The sequence below is a fragment of the Homo sapiens genome, chromosome 1, assembly GCF_000001405.40.
Source record: "Homo sapiens chromosome 1, GRCh38.p14 Primary Assembly".
Lineage (NCBI taxonomy): Eukaryota > Metazoa > Chordata > Mammalia > Primates > Hominidae > Homo > Homo sapiens.
In genome coordinates, this window is record NC_000001.11 from 184,970,237 (window position 1) to 184,989,858 (window position 19,622).

At 39.4% G+C, this 19,622-nt stretch overlaps 1 protein-coding gene across 3 annotated transcripts in view, besides 4 other annotated features; it reads right to left on the reverse strand.

The window, feature by feature from the left end:
• Positions 1-4,272, reverse strand: part of NIBAN1 (niban apoptosis regulator 1) — a 183,477-nt gene extending 179,205 nt beyond the window's left edge. For all 3 annotated transcript variants that reach the window (XM_047444098.1, XM_047444102.1, NM_052966.4), the window contains exon 1: positions 4,066-4,272. In XM_047444098.1, coding sequence (XP_047300054.1) covers positions 4,066-4,120 — 55 coding nt within the window. In that variant the 5' untranslated portion in view covers positions 4,121-4,272. The remainder of the gene's footprint in view (positions 1-4,065) is intronic.
• Positions 3,457-3,626: an enhancer, noted in NCBI's record as "active region_2240". NCBI's record gives its function as "activates an Ori minimal core promoter by ATAC-STARR-seq in GM12878 lymphoblastoid cells {active_cell/tissue: GM12878}" and the evidence as "EXISTENCE:reporter gene assay evidence [ECO:0000049][PMID:35858748]".
• Positions 3,737-4,056: a silencer, noted in NCBI's record as "silent region_1641". NCBI's record gives its function as "represses an Ori minimal core promoter by ATAC-STARR-seq in GM12878 lymphoblastoid cells {active_cell/tissue: GM12878}" and the evidence as "EXISTENCE:reporter gene assay evidence [ECO:0000049][PMID:35858748]".
• Positions 12,046-12,165: a silencer, noted in NCBI's record as "silent region_1642". NCBI's record gives its function as "represses an Ori minimal core promoter by ATAC-STARR-seq in GM12878 lymphoblastoid cells {active_cell/tissue: GM12878}" and the evidence as "EXISTENCE:reporter gene assay evidence [ECO:0000049][PMID:35858748]".
• Positions 16,141-16,435: a silencer, noted in NCBI's record as "tiled region #9576; K562 Repressive DNase unmatched - State 12:CtcfO". NCBI's record gives its function as "represses a minimal TATA promoter and a strong SV40 promoter by Sharpr-MPRA in K562 cells {active_cell/tissue: K562}" and the evidence as "EXISTENCE:reporter gene assay evidence [ECO:0000049][PMID:27701403]".

Sequence of the window (19,622 nt, forward strand, 5' to 3'; positions counted from 1 at the left end):
CATAATGCATTTCCTAACTTTCTCATCATAGTATATTGCCATTACTAGCCAACTTGGACTCTAAGATCACACTACCAAAAATATTCAGGTTAAGTCAGACCAGTTCTTATGCCCATCTCCCACCAACAAATTATGACCGAAGAAGCAAATGTGTGGACTAGTACGACACATCCACACTAAGTAGACTACAGATGTGTACAGCTCTCCCCATCCTCCACCTTGCCCATGGAGACTTCATTCTAGACACATCACTTTAAACTTTGTATCTAGCCACCTAAGTTAACCCTTGTATAAATAAGAGGGAACTTCCCTGAGAAAAATATGTGCTATTTTAAAGCTGAAACTCATTTCTTATTTTATAAGCATCAGATCATTGAGAAGCTTTTGGAGGAAGCCACTGGGCCCTTTATATATTATGTAACTGACTATGCAATAATAAATCCAGTGGGGGAAAACAGTTTTCCTAACTGGTATTTGCTGCTGGCAGGCCTGCAAGTGCCCACTAGGATCTGTTTATCCCATGGTTTTCAGCTGCGGCACTGACTGTCCAGTACTTTTCTGACCCTCCACAGGACTTCTTATGTGGGAGATCTTTCAGGTTTGCTTTCTTTTTGATTCGTTAAAAATTCAAGGGTAATTTTTAGAAGGAAATAAAATTATTGCATAAACAGGAAAACACAGTGTGGGGGGTTTTTTGGTTTTGTTTTGGGGTTTTTTTTTAAGCTATAGTTTAATTTCATGCATACCAAAAGCTTTACAGAAAAAGAGGCCGGGCATGGTGACTCATGCCTGTAATCCCAGCACTTTGGGAGGCCAAGGCGGGAAGACTGCTTGAGCCCAGAAGTTTGAGACCTGCCTGGGCAACATGGCAAAATCCCATCTCTACAAAAAATACAATTAGCTGGGCGTGGTGGCACACACCTGCAGTTTCAGCTACTCAGGAGGCTGAGGTGGGAGGATCACCTGAGCCAGGGGAGGTCAAGGCTCACAGTGATTGTACCACTGCACTCAGCCTGCGTAACAGAGTGAGACCCTATCTCAGAAAACTAAAAAAAGAAAAGAAAAGAAAACATGGCATAAAGAGAGAAGAGCACCCAAACTGATCACTGATGCCTGGAATCTATGAGCTTTCTTCCTCATTAAAAAAAAGATTGGCTGGGCACGGTATCTCATGCCTATAATCCCAGCACTTTGGGAGGCCGAGGCAGGCAGATCACAAGGTCAGGAGATCGAAGCCATCCTGGCCCACATGGTGAAACCCCGTCTCTACTAAAAATACAAAAATTAGCTGGGCATGGTGGTGCGTGGCTGTAATCCTAGCTATTCGGGAGGCTGAGGCAGGAGAATCACTTGGACCAGGGAGTCAGAGGTTGCAGTGATCCGAGATCGTGCCACTACACTCCAGCTTGGTGACAGAGTGAGACTCTGTCTCAAAAAAAAAGGATCATTTTAGGTCAGTGCTAAAAGCATCACTTAAGACTAACATATGACACAGCTCATGTGATCACAAGTTGGTCTCAGTATTATTTATTAATAGAAACATCTTATCAAGGGACACTACTGAAAGGCTTCTAGAAACAATCCTAAAAATTTATTCTGTTGTAAGAAACATGAGCATTGCCGTAATTTCCCAAACTAACATCTTTAGAAATGAAGTAACTCCTTAACGTAGATGATATATCTTTACCTGAAGATTAACTAAATCCTAAGAAACAATGTATTTTCAAAACATCCATATGACACAGATGTTTTGAGGCACACAAGGAATGGCAGCTGTTAAATGATTTGTCTTAAAGTAAAGGCTGATTCAGCGTCAGTAGCATACAGCGGTTTATGATGCATACAAAATAAAGTTAACAAAAGTCACTCAAAATATATTGACTAGCTACTCTCCTTGTTAGCAAAGTTTATCAAGCTTAAAAGAAAGTTATTGTCTCAGCTTCAGGAGCTTTCAAATCTATATTTCACTGATGGCTACTTTATGAGAAACAGGTCATAAAAGTATATTTAAACTTTACTGTCATACTTCCAATCGTTTTGCTTACAATTGAATCAAAGCTTGAGAATATTTATAGGCTAAAAAATGGGCAAAGAGGTAAAGATAGGGCTATGATTTTACTCAGGAACCTGGGCTTCAAAACCATCAGGAAATCACAGCCCTGTGACCCTCATTTGCTCATGCACTAACAATGTACAACACCATGCATTTTTCCAAGGTTCTTTTCTCTTTTGGCAAGACTAGCATTCTCACATGAAGTGATGAGTCTTTTTCCCTGGAGGTATTCTAACTTTAACTCTTCTCTTCCCTCTCCCACTACACATACCTTGCAAGTGCCCTCCTGAATATAGAATGAAGAGAGAAAGCTGAACAAGACTGGGAAATGTAATGACTGTCACACCATATGCTATAGGTTTACTCATTCAAACACTTGCATTACAAGTTCTTCATCTGCCCTAACTCCCTCGTACTTTTGTATATGTAATAATTTAATAGCTTTCAGAATAAAGAAATTAATAGCATTTTCTTATTATCTGAGTACAATGTTTGCATCAATAGCAACAAATGGCACGGCCAGGAAGTCTTCTTTAAGCATGTTAATCCTTCACATTGCTTAACTTCAAATGATTAGTGTACTTGGCCATGCGTCCACATTAGGTGCTCCTAAGCTTTCCAGTGAAATAAAGTCTTATATAAATGCCTTAAACACAACTTTGCTAACATTCAAATGCAAGCCCTTTCTCACTACGTTCTGTTGATTGCCCTTTCAGTCCCTATACACTGGTAACACAAGCATGTAGCCACATTTTTAAGACTAAGGCAGGCTTCATTTATTTCTTTTAAGCTTAGTTCAGCTCTTTTACTAATATAAATAAATCATCCGTCTTTTCCCCTTTAACAAACAAAAGCAAAGAGATACTTGACCAAGTGTTATCCCCTGACAGTACAGGTTGTTGAGGATCTTTTACCTCCAAAAGCACCAGAGCAGGAATCTGTAAAATCAGCTCCGTTGCTCTTCACGTACCCTGATTTGATATCTTTTTAAAACGGTCTTAAATGTTGTGGTGACTGAAAACAAATGTGGAATAAGAACACCAAATAAATGATTTCCTCTTAGGAAAGGATTCAAGGGCCAAATAAACCTAGAGTTTAATACATAGTCTGGAAGATATTTCTGAAGCCGAGGGTGGGGGATCTGGCGGCGGGGCGGGGGAAAGACAGTAAATTGGTAAGATAACCAAATGTTAGGTAGCGGTTGAAGGCAAGTTTGGGGTGGGGGGTGAGAAGAGGGGAGGCCAAATACGCCCAGGAAATAAAGGAGATAACGAGTCAGGACTTCCTGCAGTTTCAGTTCGGTTTGGGTTTTGTTTTGTTTGTTTTGCAGCCTCACGCTCTCTACTGAGTCCCCACATCTCTGAGGGTCTCCCTAAATGAGTTTCTCCCCATCTGTAACTTTCGGGCAGTTACAAAGCACGCCAGTGTTCCTCTTTTGCTTCGCCCCTCTCCGGGGCGGGAAGGGAACGGCATGACATTGTCCTTTTTGCCGCTGATGAAATCATCCTGCAAGTGCTAGGATGAAGTGCGAGCGAAGCTGCGGCCAACGCCGCGCTTTCCAAAGCCAGGCCAACATTACTAAGAGGGAAATTCTGCTTTAGCTGCCGGGAATCCCCAGGGGTATCTCTAGAAACGCGGGATATCCCCGCTGCTCTCTTGGCGGCCAGTTCAGAAACCGCTCAGAACTCAGTCCAGGGCAGGTACTGGAGGGCGAAGTGCGCCGGGCGGGGGCGGCACTGACCCCGAGGCGGCGGGAGCGGCGAAGGCGCCGGCGTCCCCACCCGCATCCTGCACCTGCCTCGCTCCCAAGCCCTCCCGGTCCCCGGTCCACACCCGCGCCGGAGCGCGCCGGCTGGGGCAGGAAACCCGACTCGCGCGGGCGGGCTGCGGTCGGGGATCCCCGCGCGCTACAGGGAGAGGGCCCGGGGCGCGCCCCTTGGGGCCCCGACCGCGGCAGCCAGCCTGGTGCACGGGTCAGGGTGCTCCCCAGGCCCCCGGGCGGGCGGGCGTACCTCGGATGTAAGCGCACTTGCCCTCGTCCAGCTGGCTGGAGGCTGAGCCGCCCATGACCGCGAGCTGCCTGTGCTGAGCGCGGAAACTGCCCGGTCCGCGCCCGCTGCTAGCTCCTGGAGGTTGATCCGACGGCGAACCCGGCTCTGAAATTAAGAGCAAACTTCCTTCGAGAGGCGAGAGACAGGAGGCAAGAGGCGTCGCCTTCTGGGGCGCCTCCTCCAGGTCCGCGCCTTCTGATGATCCGTGGGCCGGCCCGGGGGCTGTCTTCCCGCCCTCGCCTAGCTGGTGAGCTCCGACGGGCTGGCAACCGAGGAGGTCGGCCAGCTCCTCCTCCTCGCCCACGGTCACTTCTTGTTTTCATCCCTTTGGGGCATCCAAGAAACACCTTGGAGGAAGTGGACCATTTCTCAAGTGACTAAATCTCTGTGAGCTGGAACTTTCCCAGCTCACATCCTTCGAGGTGGAGCTCAAGATCACGTTGCCTTGTAAGTGTTGCTGTCCAAGAAGCAACAGTTCTTCCCAAGCATTACCTGGGAGCCTGTTAGAAATACAAAATCTCAGCGCTTTCGTCCACCACCCCTCTACACACACACAGACACACACACACTTAGAATCTGTGGGAGTGGAGCCCAGCAATCTGTGTTTGCACAAACCCTCCAGGGAATTCTGATGCCCGCTGAAGTTTGAGAACTAGAGGTAAACTATACCTTTCTGCAGGCGAGAACCTGGACCAAGGAGGGAGTGGGGAAATGAGGAAAAAAGGAAAGAGAAAAAAAAATGGAAAGACAGGGAAAAACTAAGGCTTGGTCCTGCAATATACTCCCAGCCCTGAAACTTCCTAAGACTTGATGAACGTCTGTCCTTACCCCTTTACTTTCCATTCCTCTCCTTAACTGGAAATCAATCATTAGAAAAGATATTTGTTCTTTTCCCACAACCACTATTTAGCTTGGCAGCCTCTCGGAACAAGACCCACTTGGGCAGAGGGGTCACCGCTGATTTCATCCTATTCTTAGTAGTCAGTTATTTTGCGACTCCTATTGACTTAACCTCAAGGTCAAATGGTCTGTATACACTAGAACCAGGCCTGAGGAGGACTTTGAAGGCTTTCCCACACACCCCCGCCTTCCCTATTAGCTAACTTGCACTTTAACACAATTATTTCATCACACTCACACCCAATCTCTCACACTCTACATTCCAATCTGTCAGTAAATCCTGTCAATTCAGCTTTTAAATATGTCCAATAGCCAACCAATTCTCATCCCCTCTACTGACATCCCATATCATTCCTCACCTTATTCATTACACTAGCTGCCTAACTGATCTACCTTCTTCAGAGAAAAGCCACGACGTCTATCAGGGCCTAGGTGGAGTTTCCTCTGTGATCTTCTCTACCACCACTCCTTGTTCTCTCTGTTCCAGCCCTACTAGCCTTTTTTTTTACTCTTTCTGAGACACATCAAGCTCAGGGCCTTTGCACTTGTTTTTCATTTCTGTAGGATGCTCTTCCTTCAGATATTCACATAGGTTACTCTCTCAGTCATTTCATTCAAGCCTCCACTTTAATGCTAGTAATTCAGAGAGGTTCTCCTTGACCCAGGAACACCAGCCATCACCTCTCTCTGCCACTTGCTCTTCATTATTTCTGTTTCATATCACTTAGTATCATCTAACACATATTTCTTTGTCTATCTTCCCCCACTGCGATGTAAACTCTATAAGATCAGGGATTTTCTTTGTTGTTATTGTTGTTTCTTGGGGCTTTTTCCCTCAAAATTTCTGTTTCCTTTTTTATTATTATTTTTCCTCTTATGGCAGGGATTTTTTTGTCTATTCTGTCCTCTGCTGTATTTCAAATGCCTAGAAGAGCACCTAGCATGTAGTAGGTGTCCAGTAGATAACCACTGAATAAGTGAATGAATGAAAAATAAAATGTAAAAATCTGTACTCAACAAAAACTGTGATCTCAAGCATTTCCAGATAACAACTCAATGATTTAAAATATTTAGTGTTGAACTCTTCTCTCAATACTCTAGTTGGCTCCTAGAATTAAGTGTATCTTCTTGGAGAAGTAATTTCTTTGACTATATAAATTGCTATAACTGTGCCTCAGAATACTGTTATTGTTATTGAAGAAAACTAGCTTGGATCTCCTGCCAGAAGTGTAGTTTTAGCTTGTCACCTCTACTTCAGGAATACTCTGAGAAAGGACTGATTATCCTCATCTACCCTTATCCACTCATTTGTAAATATTCACGGATGAAACAGAGTACAAAGATGGATTCACACAAACAAATGGAAAAACATTCAATGCTCATAGATAAGAAGAATCAATATTGTTAAAATGGTCATACTGCCCAGAGCAATGTACAGATTCAAAGCTCTTCCTATCAAACTACCAAAGACATGCCTCACAGAATTAGAAAAAAACTATTCTAAAATTCAGATGAAACTAAAAAAGAGCCTGAATAGCTAGTGCAATCCTAAGCAAAAAGAACAAAGCTGTTGGCATGGCATGATCTGACTTCAAACTATACTAGAAGGGTACAGTCACCAAAACAGCATAATGCTGGTACAAAAACAGTATACCAAAAATATTGGACAAAAACAGATACATAGACCAATGGAACAGAATAGAGAAATAAACCAGAAATAAAGGTGCACACCTACAACCATCTGATCTTCAACAAAGCTGACAAAAGCAATGGGGAAAGGACTCTCCCTATTCAATAAATGGTGCTGGAATAACTGGCTAGCCATATGCAGGTGATTGAAACTCGACCCCTTCTTTTTTCTTTTTTTTTAGACGGAGTCTTGCTCTGTCACCAGGCTGGAGTGCAGTGCCGCTACCTCGGCTCACTGCAACCTCTGCCTCTTGAGTTCAAGGGATTCTCCTGCCTCAGCCTCCTGAGTAGATGGGACTACAGGCGTGTGCCACCACACCCAGCTAATTTTGTATTTTTAATAGAGATGGGGTTTCACCATTTTGGCCAGGATGGTCTCGATCTCTTGACCTCATGATTCGCCCGCCTCGGCCTCTCAAAGTGCTGGGATTACAGGCGTGAGCCACCATGCCCGGCTGGACCCATTCTTTATATTATACCATACACAAAAATCAACTCAAGATGGATTAAAGACTTAAGTGTAAAACCCAAAACTACAAAAACTCTTGAAGAAATCTAGGAATACCATTCTAGACATAGGCACTGGCAAAGATTTCATGATGAAGACATGAAAAGCAGTTGCAACAAGAACAAAAATTGACAAATGGGACCTGATTTGACTAAAGAGCTTCTGCACAGCAAAAGAAACTATCAACAGAGTAAATAGACAACTCAGAGAATGGGAGAATATATTTGTGAACTATGCATCTAACAGAGATCTAATATCCAGAATCTGTAAGAAATTTAAAGTAGCAAGTAATAAACAAACAACTCCATTAAAAAGTGGGCAAAGGACATAAGCAGACACTTTTCCAAAGAAGACATATACACAGCCAACAAGCATATGAAAAAATGCTCAACATCACTAATCATTAGAGAAATACAAATCAAAACCACAATGAGATACCATCTCATACCAGTTAGAGAGCTATTATTAAAAAGTTCCGGTGGGGTGCAGTGGCTCACGCCTGTAATCCCAGCACTTTGGGAGACCGAGGCGGGCAGATCACGAGATCAGGAGATGGAGACCATCCTGGCTAACACGGTGAAACCCCGTCTCTACTAAAAATACAAAAAATTAGCCGGGCGTTCTGGCGGGCGCCTGTAGTCCCAGCTACTCGGGAGGCTGAGGCAGGAGAATGGCGTGAACCCGGGAGGCGGAGCTTGCAGTGAGCCGAGATCGCGCCACTGCACTCCAGCCTGGGCGACAGAGCGAGACTCCGTCTCAAAAAAAAAAAAAAAAAAAAAAAAAAGCTACCACTGCTGGTGGGAATGTAAATTAGTTTAGCCACTGCGGAAAACAGTTTGGCAATTTCTCAAAGAACTTAGAACTACCATTCAACCCAACAATCCCATTATTGGATATTACCCAAAGGAATATAAATCACTATACCATAAAGACATATACATACATATGTTCATTGCAGTGCTATTCACAATACCAAAGACATGGAATCAACCCAAATGCCCATCAACAGTAGACTAGATAAAGAAAATGCGGTACATATACTCCATGGAAGACTACACAGCCATAAAAAAGAATGAGATCATGTCCTTTGCAACAAAGTGGATGGAGCTGGAGGCAATTATCCTAAGTGAATTAACACAGGAACAGAAAACCAAATGCCACATGTTCTCACTTATAAATGGCAGCTAAACTTTGAGTACACATGGACTTAAAGAAGGGAACAATAGACATCAGGGCCTATTTGAGGGTGGAGGGTGGAAAAAGGGCTAGGATAAAAAAACTACCTATCAGCCAAGCACAGTGGCTCATGCCTGTAATCCTAGCACTTTGGGAGGCCAAGGCAGGAGGATCACTTAAGTCTGGGAGTTCAAGACCAACCTGGGCAACAAAACAAAACCCCATCTCTACAAAAAATACCAAAAAAATTAGCCAGACGAGGTGGCATGTGTCTATTGTTCCAGCTACTCTGGAGGCTGAGGTGGGAGAATCACTTGATACCAGGAGGCAGAGGTTGCAATGAGCTGAGATTGTGCCCCTGCATTCCAGCCTGGGCAACAGAGCAAGACCCTGTCTCAAAAACACAAAACAAAACAAAAAAACTACCAATTGGGTACTATACTTATTACCTAGGTGACAAAATAATATATACACCAAACCCCCACAACAGGTAATTTCTCTACAGAATAAACCTGCACGTGTACCCCTGAAATTAAAATAAAAGTCAAAAAAATAGAATAAAATATTTTTAAAGATGGATTCATATAGCATAGGATTACAGGTTAGCAGGTTTGTAACCTGGCAATTCCAGCTTTGAATTAATTAATAACCATGTGACCTGGTCAAGTTGCTTAACTTACTTGTCTCAGTCTCATCTGTTAAGTGGAGCTAATTACATTTACCTCATGAACTGTTGTCAAAATTAAGTTTGATCAGGTCTATGAATGACTTGACATATTCCCAAGAGCATAGTGAGTGTTCAGTAAAGGGAAGCTAGGATTATTATTATCAAAAAGGGCAAAAGTGAGGAAGGAAAGCAATTTTCTAGAGAAGGTGAAATTTTAATTGGACCTTGAAACTTATTGATGTTACATGAAGAAAGAGCTACGGCTTCCTTTCTTCCTCCAAACAAAGTTCTTTTTCCCCCAGTGGTTTACAGGAAAAATTAAGGAATTCATTATTTTAGTCATAGTATTTAATATTTGCAAATCCTATGTGGGCATCATTTTATTAATCACACACTAAAAATGAGTCTCCAAGCAATTCAATAACTTTATGAACCAGATTCAATTTCACATTATTCAAATCAGCTACTTCAGAAAATTTTCTTTGCAATGTTAGTTTCTGTACTGTATCTGTATTTTGTATTAAAATACTCTTAAGACCATTTCTTTAAGGTAATTATCACACACTAAAATGATTACTTTTTAAACATCTTCACTGAGATATAATTCGTATACCATAAATTCACCCTTTTTGCCAAAGGCTCGAATTAGTTCAGTAGTCATTTAGCATCTTTAAAATGTGTGTGTGTGTGTGTGTGTGTGTGTGTGTGTGTTTTGGATTCCCTTGCACATCATAGAACTATGAAGCCCTTGTTTGCCATGGTCTCATATGAGTTAGTGGAATCTATCTACTTAACTGCCTGCAGAGCAGAGACTATTTCAAACTTCTTTGTAATTCTCCAAGTACCTTATACAGCCTTGTGATATAGCAGTAGAAATTCTGTAATTGATTAATTGATAAGTGCACACGGTAGTTTACATCATTACTAATTTAATCTTCACAAAAACCCACTAAGGCAAGCACTATTATTATCATCACTTCACAGATGAGGAAACCAAGGTTAAGAAGTTTTAGGAATTTATCTAAGATCACCTGTGACCTGGGCTTGTCTGACTTGAGTTCATCCTCTTAACCATAATAATGCTTTTATCTTAAATCTTGATTTTGTTTATTTACGTAAGTAATCCAAGTTTTACTATAAAAAATTAGAAAATATAGATAAATAATAAGAAAAATGGAGAAAAATGTCCAAATCCCAACATCGATATCTTTAGATAGCCCCAATTACCAGTTTGGTGTAAATTCCTACAGATTCACATATAATTATGAATACATGCATAATTATAATTTATAAGTATATATAAACTTACTAGAATTACTTATTCACCAAAATGAGATGTTGCGCTCTATACATTCTTTAATCTGTGTCATAATTTTTCATATGGAATGTTTCCACTTAACTAAATATTTATTTCTAGGTCAATGGTATTTCACTGTATAAATGTAGCTTAATTCATCTACCTACTAACAATGTGTAATTCTCATTTGCATACCCCTATATTACACTGGACATTTTAATATCTTTTAAAATTAGCCTATTATTATTATTATTATTATTAATACTTGTCAATTTGGGTGTCTAAATAGGTGTCATATTCTGTTGCTCAATTTTGAAATTTTTAATGAGGAAGAATATTTTTTCCATGGGCTTTCTGGCCATATGTGTTCCTTCTTTGTGAATTGCCTATTCTTGTACTTCTCCATTTTTCTATTGATTTCTTATCCTTATTGTTATGGAAACATTTTATATCTATATTAGAGACATTAACCCTTTTACTGTAAAACACATTGCAAATTAAACACATTTTTCTTTCGGAAACATATTTCCCTGTGCTCTATATTGGATTTTCTTTTCTGAATATTGACCTAACTGCAGGCAAATTTAAAAATCAGATTTGTCTCTGCCACCTTCTCATCTTTCCTCATTCCCTCTTAGCCTTACGTAATGTCTAAAGAATGCCTAGCCTAATCAATAATATCTCTTATAGGTTGTTGTACCTAGGGTTTTTATACAAAATGGATTAACTTGGAAGTCATTTTACAAATTTTTAAAAAATATATAAATTTGTTTACTTACTAGCTGCCTCAAAAGATGGTTATAATAATCTAATACAATCTGTCTTAGGGGCTCAAAATTTACAGTGGAAAAGACTAGGCTTTAATCCTCATTCTGATACTGGCTTGCCTCATGATCTTGGGAAATAACTTAAATTTTCTAAGCTTCATATTCCTTATCTTCAAAATAGGTATCTGCAAAAATTAGATAAGATCATATGTGTAATATACTTAATACATATGACTATACCTACATATTTATCATTCTCTAAATGAAGCTAATATATAACTAGTGATAAATAAAAAGATACTTTAACTGTTTTATCAGTGCTAGTCTTTTTTATTCATATGCTTGTTATAATACTTTTGTGGCCAGTACATCAAACTCCCCAGGGGCAGGTATTAATACCAATTTTGAAAGGGAAAATGTGTATTACTATGTTTTAATTGTATATGTGAACAACAAAACATAACTGTCTTCATAATACAAACTATAGAAAGCCAAGCTGAATAAAATCTTTTCTAGAGGTAACATGTTGAAGATGGAATCCAATTTCTGCTTATCAATGACTCTTGAAGTTGCAGGAATTCCAGGACTGTGCGGCATTTTTATTGGAAAAAGACAGATATTTTTTAAGTTGAGAAACACTTGCTCAATGTGCTTTTCAAATGTAAGTCATCACAATTATATATAAACCTCTAGTATTTGCATAAGACCATAGACACAGAATACAAGTTCAAGTATTTTAACAGAAACCAGTAAAGGCTTGGAACTAAGGATGACAACTCTAGAACCAAGGAGACGTTTAGATGTGTAGGCACCAGTCTTTCAAATCTGACAAATACCAGACCAGCACAGTTGCCCTTGTGAAAACTGTAGCCATATTACCGCCAAAGATAAACAGATTACATGGGTTCTTCTGAAGTCAAGGCTCTGAAGGACCTTGTATTTGGGGAAGTTAGTTTAGTGTTAGTGCACAAAGGGAAGAGTGCCACCTGCTGGGCCACCGATGATGCTCCCCGTGGGGCCACAGCTACTGGGCAGGGTGGGAAAGAACACTGACTCCGGTCCAAATCAAATTCATTTTGCTACATCTAGATTAGCTTAACAGTCGTTTGGAATTATTCAGCGATTTCTTACAAATATTAATATCCAAGCTTCTTTCTCCTCAGCTAACAAGTGAATCACTCTTTGAGAACAGAACTTTTCCGGCTAAATTTATTTAAGGGGGCTAATTCTAGTATTTTAACATGCAAACTTGTACACATGTGTAAGCTTTGTACCCACAAAATGTGCTCATAACACACATTTTTGACATTAATTATATTTTGTAAAGCACAGGGTTTTTTTCATTCTTTTGACTTAAGAGTCATCGTTCCCTCTTCTCTTTACGGTGCAAAATGCCAGCACAGTAATTCTCTTAGGCAGGTGTCAGTAGTTGCCGAGAATAGGCCAGGGCTCTGATTTCTATTCTATTGTGCTTGAATGGGGAGATGGGAAGAAGTTTTTATTTATTTATTTTTTGAGACAGGGTCTCGCTCTGTCACCCAGGCTGGAGTGCTGTGGCACGATCTCGGCTCATTGCAACCTCCTCCTGGGTTCAAGCAGTTCTCCTGCCTCAGCCTCCCGAGTACCTGGGACTACGAGTGCACACCACTATACTCAGCTAATTTTTGTATTTTTAGTAGAGATGGGGTTTCACTATGTTGGCCAGGCTGGTCTTGAAATCCTGACCTTAAGTGATTCACCTGCTTTGGCCTCCCAAGATGCTGGGATTACAGGCATGAGCCACCGCACCCAGCCGGGAAGAAGTATTGGTGGTGGAACCACAAGGGCGTGTAGGAACAGTGGGACTGATTCGTCAAAGTGGGGTGGGGTATTATGTCACTAATGTTGTTTAGAATTCCTGCACATGGTGATTTAAAAAAATGCAAGCTGAGTTAGTTTTATTATTGCTTTTCAGTGCTCTACAGAGTGTACCCCTTTTTGCCTGAACCAAGGACAGACCACTCCCACAGCATTCCTTCCCATATACCTCTAAATATTTTCACTCACAAATGGTGTAGGGAGTGAGGCAGAGATGTCTCGATTTATATGCCTTGTTTATGGAAGGAATATATGCTCTTCTACATTGGCATGACTTATTGTACCTAATTAAAATTATCTGCATCCATACTGCCTTAAAATCTTTTTCCTATTTTGACATTGTACCAATTATCAATTCATTTGGGTTACAAATTATAAAGCTATCATATTAAATATCTTAAGGTGAATTCATATAATCAGATTGCATGCCTTGTAAAATTTAGCTAAAATCAGCTCATTGCCAGAGTAACAGTATTGAAGGAGAAGAAGGAAAGAGTAATCTAAACATCAAAACACATCATGGTAGTCTATTTCCAAACTAGGTTAATCAGGATCTTGCCCAGGATTTTTCTACTGTAGTTATTGAAGAAAACTGTTGCTTTCCCCTGGGGTCAATAAGTTGGTAGAATAGGAATCTTGAGCCACCAAGTGGACATTTGTCTACCAGAAGGACAGACCTTGATTGAAAGAAAATAATTTTTTGATGATATCTCATTAGTTGAGCCCTGGTTTGCCCAGTTACATGAAACAAATCCTCTCATTGTGTTTGTTAAGCAAGTGTGAATTGGATTTCTGTCTTCCCAACAAAAAGTATTTTGACAAATAGAAGGCTTTAAATATAGTGCTTGTGTGCAAGATTAAAATATTCTGTAGTTATACTATATCCTTTTATATAAATGATAAAAGCAAATATAAGCAGATCATTTTCTATGAGTGATTTGCAGCACATGCCAACAAATGGCAGTTGCCACAATATATAACAATTTACTTTTCTCATTCATTTGTTATTCTCTATAGTCAGTTTTGAAACTGATTTATTTTCATTCTAGACATTTCATTAATTATTGACTACACATATACACTAATTCCAATTTATATTTAAAAGCAGCTGGCTGAAATCTTGGCAAGAGAATTAGCAGTGATTCCACGCCTCATGATCTGAATATATGTAAATATAGTCCGACCTTACTCCCATTTTATTCATTTTTTAAAAAACTAGATTCATAAAATTCTAACTTCTAGTTCAAGTCATGCTGCAATTAAATTAGGAAACATGGCAGACTTTGGGTTAGAACTAAATCAGATTGGCAGAAATTTTGCAACCTTAACGGCCATGTTTTACATACTGTTATTGAAGTTACAGCCATGTAAATTATATGATTTAATCTTAGAATTCTTGGAAATTACCGTTAATTTATAATAACTTTAATTTAGAGAGAGCACAGTGTAGATAAATTAAACAATATTGAGACAGCTATCATGAAAGTATCAGTAGAAAACGAGCTGGAGAACAAGGACAGTGTCAACTTTCTGGGTTTTCAATGGGATTTTTTGTTTGGTTTTGTTGTTTGTCGGGGAGTTTTTGTTTGTGTGTTTGTTTAGTTTTGGTTTTTTGAGACAGATGCACTATGATCTTTATTGCCATGGCTTGGTATCCACTGACTGGAATAGCACCAGGCTTATGGTCAGTGCTCAATAAAGGTTTATTGAACGAATGAGTGTTCTATAACAGACGCAAATCTGGTGCAACATGAGTTTTTCTGTTATTGCTGTAGGTAATAAAACATGGCCATTGTGTACTAAACCAGAAGGAATTTTCAGGTGTCCCTTTTTCAAGCTTCCTCATCCTAATAGTAAAGGAACTGAGACCAGAAAAGGTAAAGTGACTGCCCAAAACAGAGAAAGGAATAGTAAATCAATTAACAAACATTTATCAAATAGTGTATACTATTTCAGATAATGAGGACACAGCAGAGCACAAGGCAGTTAAAGTCTCTGCCTTCAAGGAGTTTATATTCCAGTGGCAAAAGTGATGAACATGTAAATGAATAAGATAATTGCAGGCCCTGATAAAATGATGCTACAAAAATACTAATACAGAATATTGGGATGGAGAATGATGGAGGGTGGAGAGAAACACAATTGACTTAGATTACTCAGAACTGGATGCTGTAAAGACTCTCATAGGGTTGCTGAGGCCTGAATGACAAGGAGACAGCCATGCAAAGGTATGGAGGAAGGGTATTGGAAATGCAAGTACGAAGGGTCTGAGATGGAAACAAGCTTGATGTGTTTCATGAAAATAAAACAGCCATAGTGTTTCAACCAGAATGAGGAGGAGAAGAAAATGAACAGAGACAAGGTTAGCTGGGCCAACACCAAACCCTGTAGAACACTGTGTATCCGGAAAATTAGTTGTGGGTTTTTACAGGGTGTGATGAGACACTGTTCAAAAGGTTTTGAGGAAAGGAGTCATATTACCTAATTTTCACTTTAGAAAAATCACTCAGGCTACTGTGTGGAGAATGGACTTGGATAAGGGAAGAGATGACGCCATGAGACTAATTAGAAGACTGCCCCAGTAATCCAGGCTGAATGATTGTCACTTGGACTAGGATTGACAGTAGAGAGGGCGAGCAGTAGCTGGACTCAAGACATTTGTAAGTACCTATAGGACTTACTGCTAGATGCATTTGGGCAAATGAAGATGCCATTTACAGTGATGGAGAAGACTCTGGAAAATGAATTGGGAGAATGGGGAAATGATTAGCTCTGCTTTGGACATGTCAAGTCTGAAATTTTTTTTAATCAACTTTGTCAGGTTTAATAAGCCTGAAATTTTTATTAAACATTCAAGTGGAAATGCTAAAACGTAGTTGGATAGATAAGTCTGGACTTCAAAACAGAGGTCAGGAGAGGCGACATGGATTTGGACATCACCAACAAAGAGATGATATTCAAAGCCATGGCTCTAGGGAAACCCTGTGGTTAGGGAAGAAAGGAGGACTGAGACAGTCTGGAGCACTAGGAGATATTTTCTGGAGGAAGAGGAGCCAGGAAAAAAAAAAAAAAAGGCTGAGAAAGAGCACAGAAGAGTCTGGCTTCCTGGATGTCTCCTGGACAACCTTGATAAGGACTGTTATTAATATGGAAATGGGAGAACGGGGGAAGGAAAGCCTGACTGACATGTAGTGAGGTAAGAACGGGAGGTGAGGACAAAGCAGCAACAAGTTAAACATGGCTTTCAGAAATGTTTCCACGGAGTGAGGAAGTCCTGAAGAGGGCAACAGAGGATGATGTACAAAGCAATGTAAGGAAGATTTCGCCTTTGGCCTTGGATACAGCAGGGATGCTTCTTCCACTGTGACTTGTGGGAAGGTTAGCTGCTTGGGCTCAGGTGCAGGTGCAGATGTGCTGCAGGATTTGGTGAATTCTTGACTAATTCCGTCAAAGTTAAACCCAATTTTTCCAAATCCTACTTCAGATTGCAACCACATAGCCACCATTAGAATTATAAAGTCATATTTTTGTATTGGACACAATAGCTGAAAGTTTTGAAAGATGTAATTCCTACTTCTACTGATTTGCAGTGTGAGATTGTTCTACAAATGTAATCATCTAAGTTTAGTGGTGCAAAAGTGTCATTACTTAATCAAATGAAATTATTATAGCACCAAGCTTATTTTGAATACAATGTAAAAGAGACATCATCCTAAGTTTCTAATTATTCAAAGGAATAAAGTCAACAAACTAAGAAACTAGAAAAAACCAAGGTCCTTAAAATCATCATTGAACTCCTGAATTATGCAACTCTGGAATGGCCTTATCCCAGATTTCTTGTTATGTGAGTTAATAAATGTACTGATTGTTTGAGCTGTTTTTTGTTGATTATTGCCACTTATAGCTGAAAGCAGTTTAACAGGCATTGTATTTTACTGGAATAACTGGTAGCCATCTGGAAAAAAATAAAGCTCAAACCTTACACAAAAATAAATTCCAGACAGATCAAAATATAATCAAAGCTAAAGGTTAACTATCACCATTCCTAATTTTGTACAAAAGCAGCAGAAACTTTAAAGTAAAAGCTGTTCTTTTACATTTTAACTTGATTATTCTAAATGATATGTAAGGCATTTAAAGTGGGCCATCTATAGTAACAAATGGAACAAATGGTGAATAATACAAATGCCAGCAACAACTGACAAAATTTTGTCATTAAGACAATTTTCATCCTTTATTGCTCTCTTTTCCCATTTTAATATCTTGTATTTTTCTTGAACTATAAAATATTATTTACTGGATGCTTGCAGATAACATTATATTATTTCCACAATTAAATATGAAACTGTCAGGAGAACCCTAAATCTACTTCTTTTCATCCTATCTGGTTTTATGTGTGAGCATCCTAGTCACTTCTATCGTCTTCAGTGAGCCCATGAGAACAAAGATGACAGTGACAGTCGTGTTGTATCCCCAGTAACTGCCACCATGCCTGGAACATGAAGGCATTCAGTGAAGTTTTGTTGAATGGATAGGTGAATGAATGCATGCACACATGTGTGTGAGAAAATGGAGGGAAGGTGATACTTTTTCTGTTTCTGCTGACTTGCACAGTCAGAAGAAAGAGAACAAGTTGCTGAAGGTTCATGGAAAGCCCACAAAGAAAGAAGGTTCATCTTCTTATCCGGTTCATGAGCCCTAAGGAGCTATTGCTCAAGGGTTCTTCCTGGTTGCAGTTCTGAGAACTATTGTAGGAGGAGTGAAGAAAACATTTACTGTCTACTGCATACTAGACACTTTAATACATTATTTTATCCTCTATTTCTATTTTACAAATAAGGTAGGGGTTGTCTTCTAATGGAGGTACACAATCTATTCAACTGTGGGAATTAGCAAATCCTAGAACACTCAGTCTATAGCTCAATAGCCTGAACTCTGCCTATCTAAGTTCAAAATTAATTATCTTCCTCAATCAAGTGCTCTAACTTGAAAGGCAAGTTGCAGAGTAAGGCAAAAATAACAGCAGCAGTTTTATACATATTTCTGATCTCTTCCTAAGTAAAAACATTTAAAAACTCCCATTGTAGCTACTCAAAATGTACTTGCAACAACATAGTCAGGAATTCCACTAAGATTTACCTTGTTAGACTTCTTTCTGGTTTACCATCCAAATCTTTTGTGGGGAAATTTATAGATAAAATGGATGAATTATTCTATTGCTTTTTGTTATCCTATGCTAATGAATATATCTGCTAGGGTGTCTGTGATGGCTAAATTTTATGTACTAATTTGGCTAGGCTATGATGCCCAGCTGTCTGGTGAAACACTAGCCCAGATATTGCTGTGAAGATATTTTGTAGATGTGATTAACATCTACAATCAGTTGAGTTTAAGTAAAACTCAATAATGTGGGTTTTCCTTGTTCAGTCAGCTGAAAGACATAATTGCAGAACTGAGGACTCCTGGAAAGGAAGGAATTCTGCCTCAAGACTGTAACACAGAAATCCTGCCAGATTTCCCAGGCTGCAGGCTTGCCCTACATATTTCAGACTTGCCAGCCCCACAATTGCATGAGCCAGTTCCTTAAAAAGATATTAACATAAGGGCAATCAGGAATAATAGGCAGATGCCCTTTCTGGCATAAATATTTGGGAACCTTGATCCTATATAACCTGATTCCTTTTGCTCTTATTACTAATCTCTATGGATTCACTCCTGTTGACTCTCCAGTCTCAGAACTTCTAAATAAATTTGCCCTGCTCACACAAAACGTGTGTGTGTGTGTTTTAGTATAAACATAATACTATATATATATATATTTTATTATATATAATACTATAATACTGTAATACTAATACTAGATTACTAATACTATACAATACTATAATATATTATATATAATTATATTATATTATATATATAATTATATAATATATATTATAGTATAGTATACTATAATACTATAATACTAATACTATAATACTATAATACTAATATTATATACTATTAGTTCTGTTTCTCTAGAGAACATTTGCTGATACAACAGCTATGCTATTTGCAACAGATAAAAATAAACTAGTATTAAGAAGCTAAAAGCAGCCCGGGCGCGGTGGCTCACGCCTGTAATCCCAGCACTTTGGGAGGCCAAGGCAGGTAGATCACCTGAGGTCAGGAGTTCAAGACCAACCTGGCCAACATGGTGAAACCCCCCATCTCTAAATACACTAAACACACTAAAAATACAAAAATTGGCCAGGTGTGGTGGTGTGTGCCTGTAATCCCAGCTACTCAGGAGGCTGAGGCAAGAGAATCACTAGAACCTAGGAGGTGGACGTTGCAGTGAGCTGAGATCACACCACTGCACTCCAGCCTGGGCGACAGAGTGAGATTAAGTCTCAAAAAATAAAAAATAAAAGATGAAAGCAATTAGGAGTCTTTCTCTCTTTGATAGCATCTATTCAGAAACATAAATTCCAAAGGCTTTGGAATCCTGTCATCTCTAATTATACTACAGATAGAATACTTCAAAAAATAAAATTGTGGGTCATTTTTATTTTAAAAATACATGTGATTTTTAACTTTGAGAAAGTGCTAAGGTCATCATTAAGCCAGATGATGAGAAAGTGCTGCAGCTTTAAACACTCTGAAGCACTAATT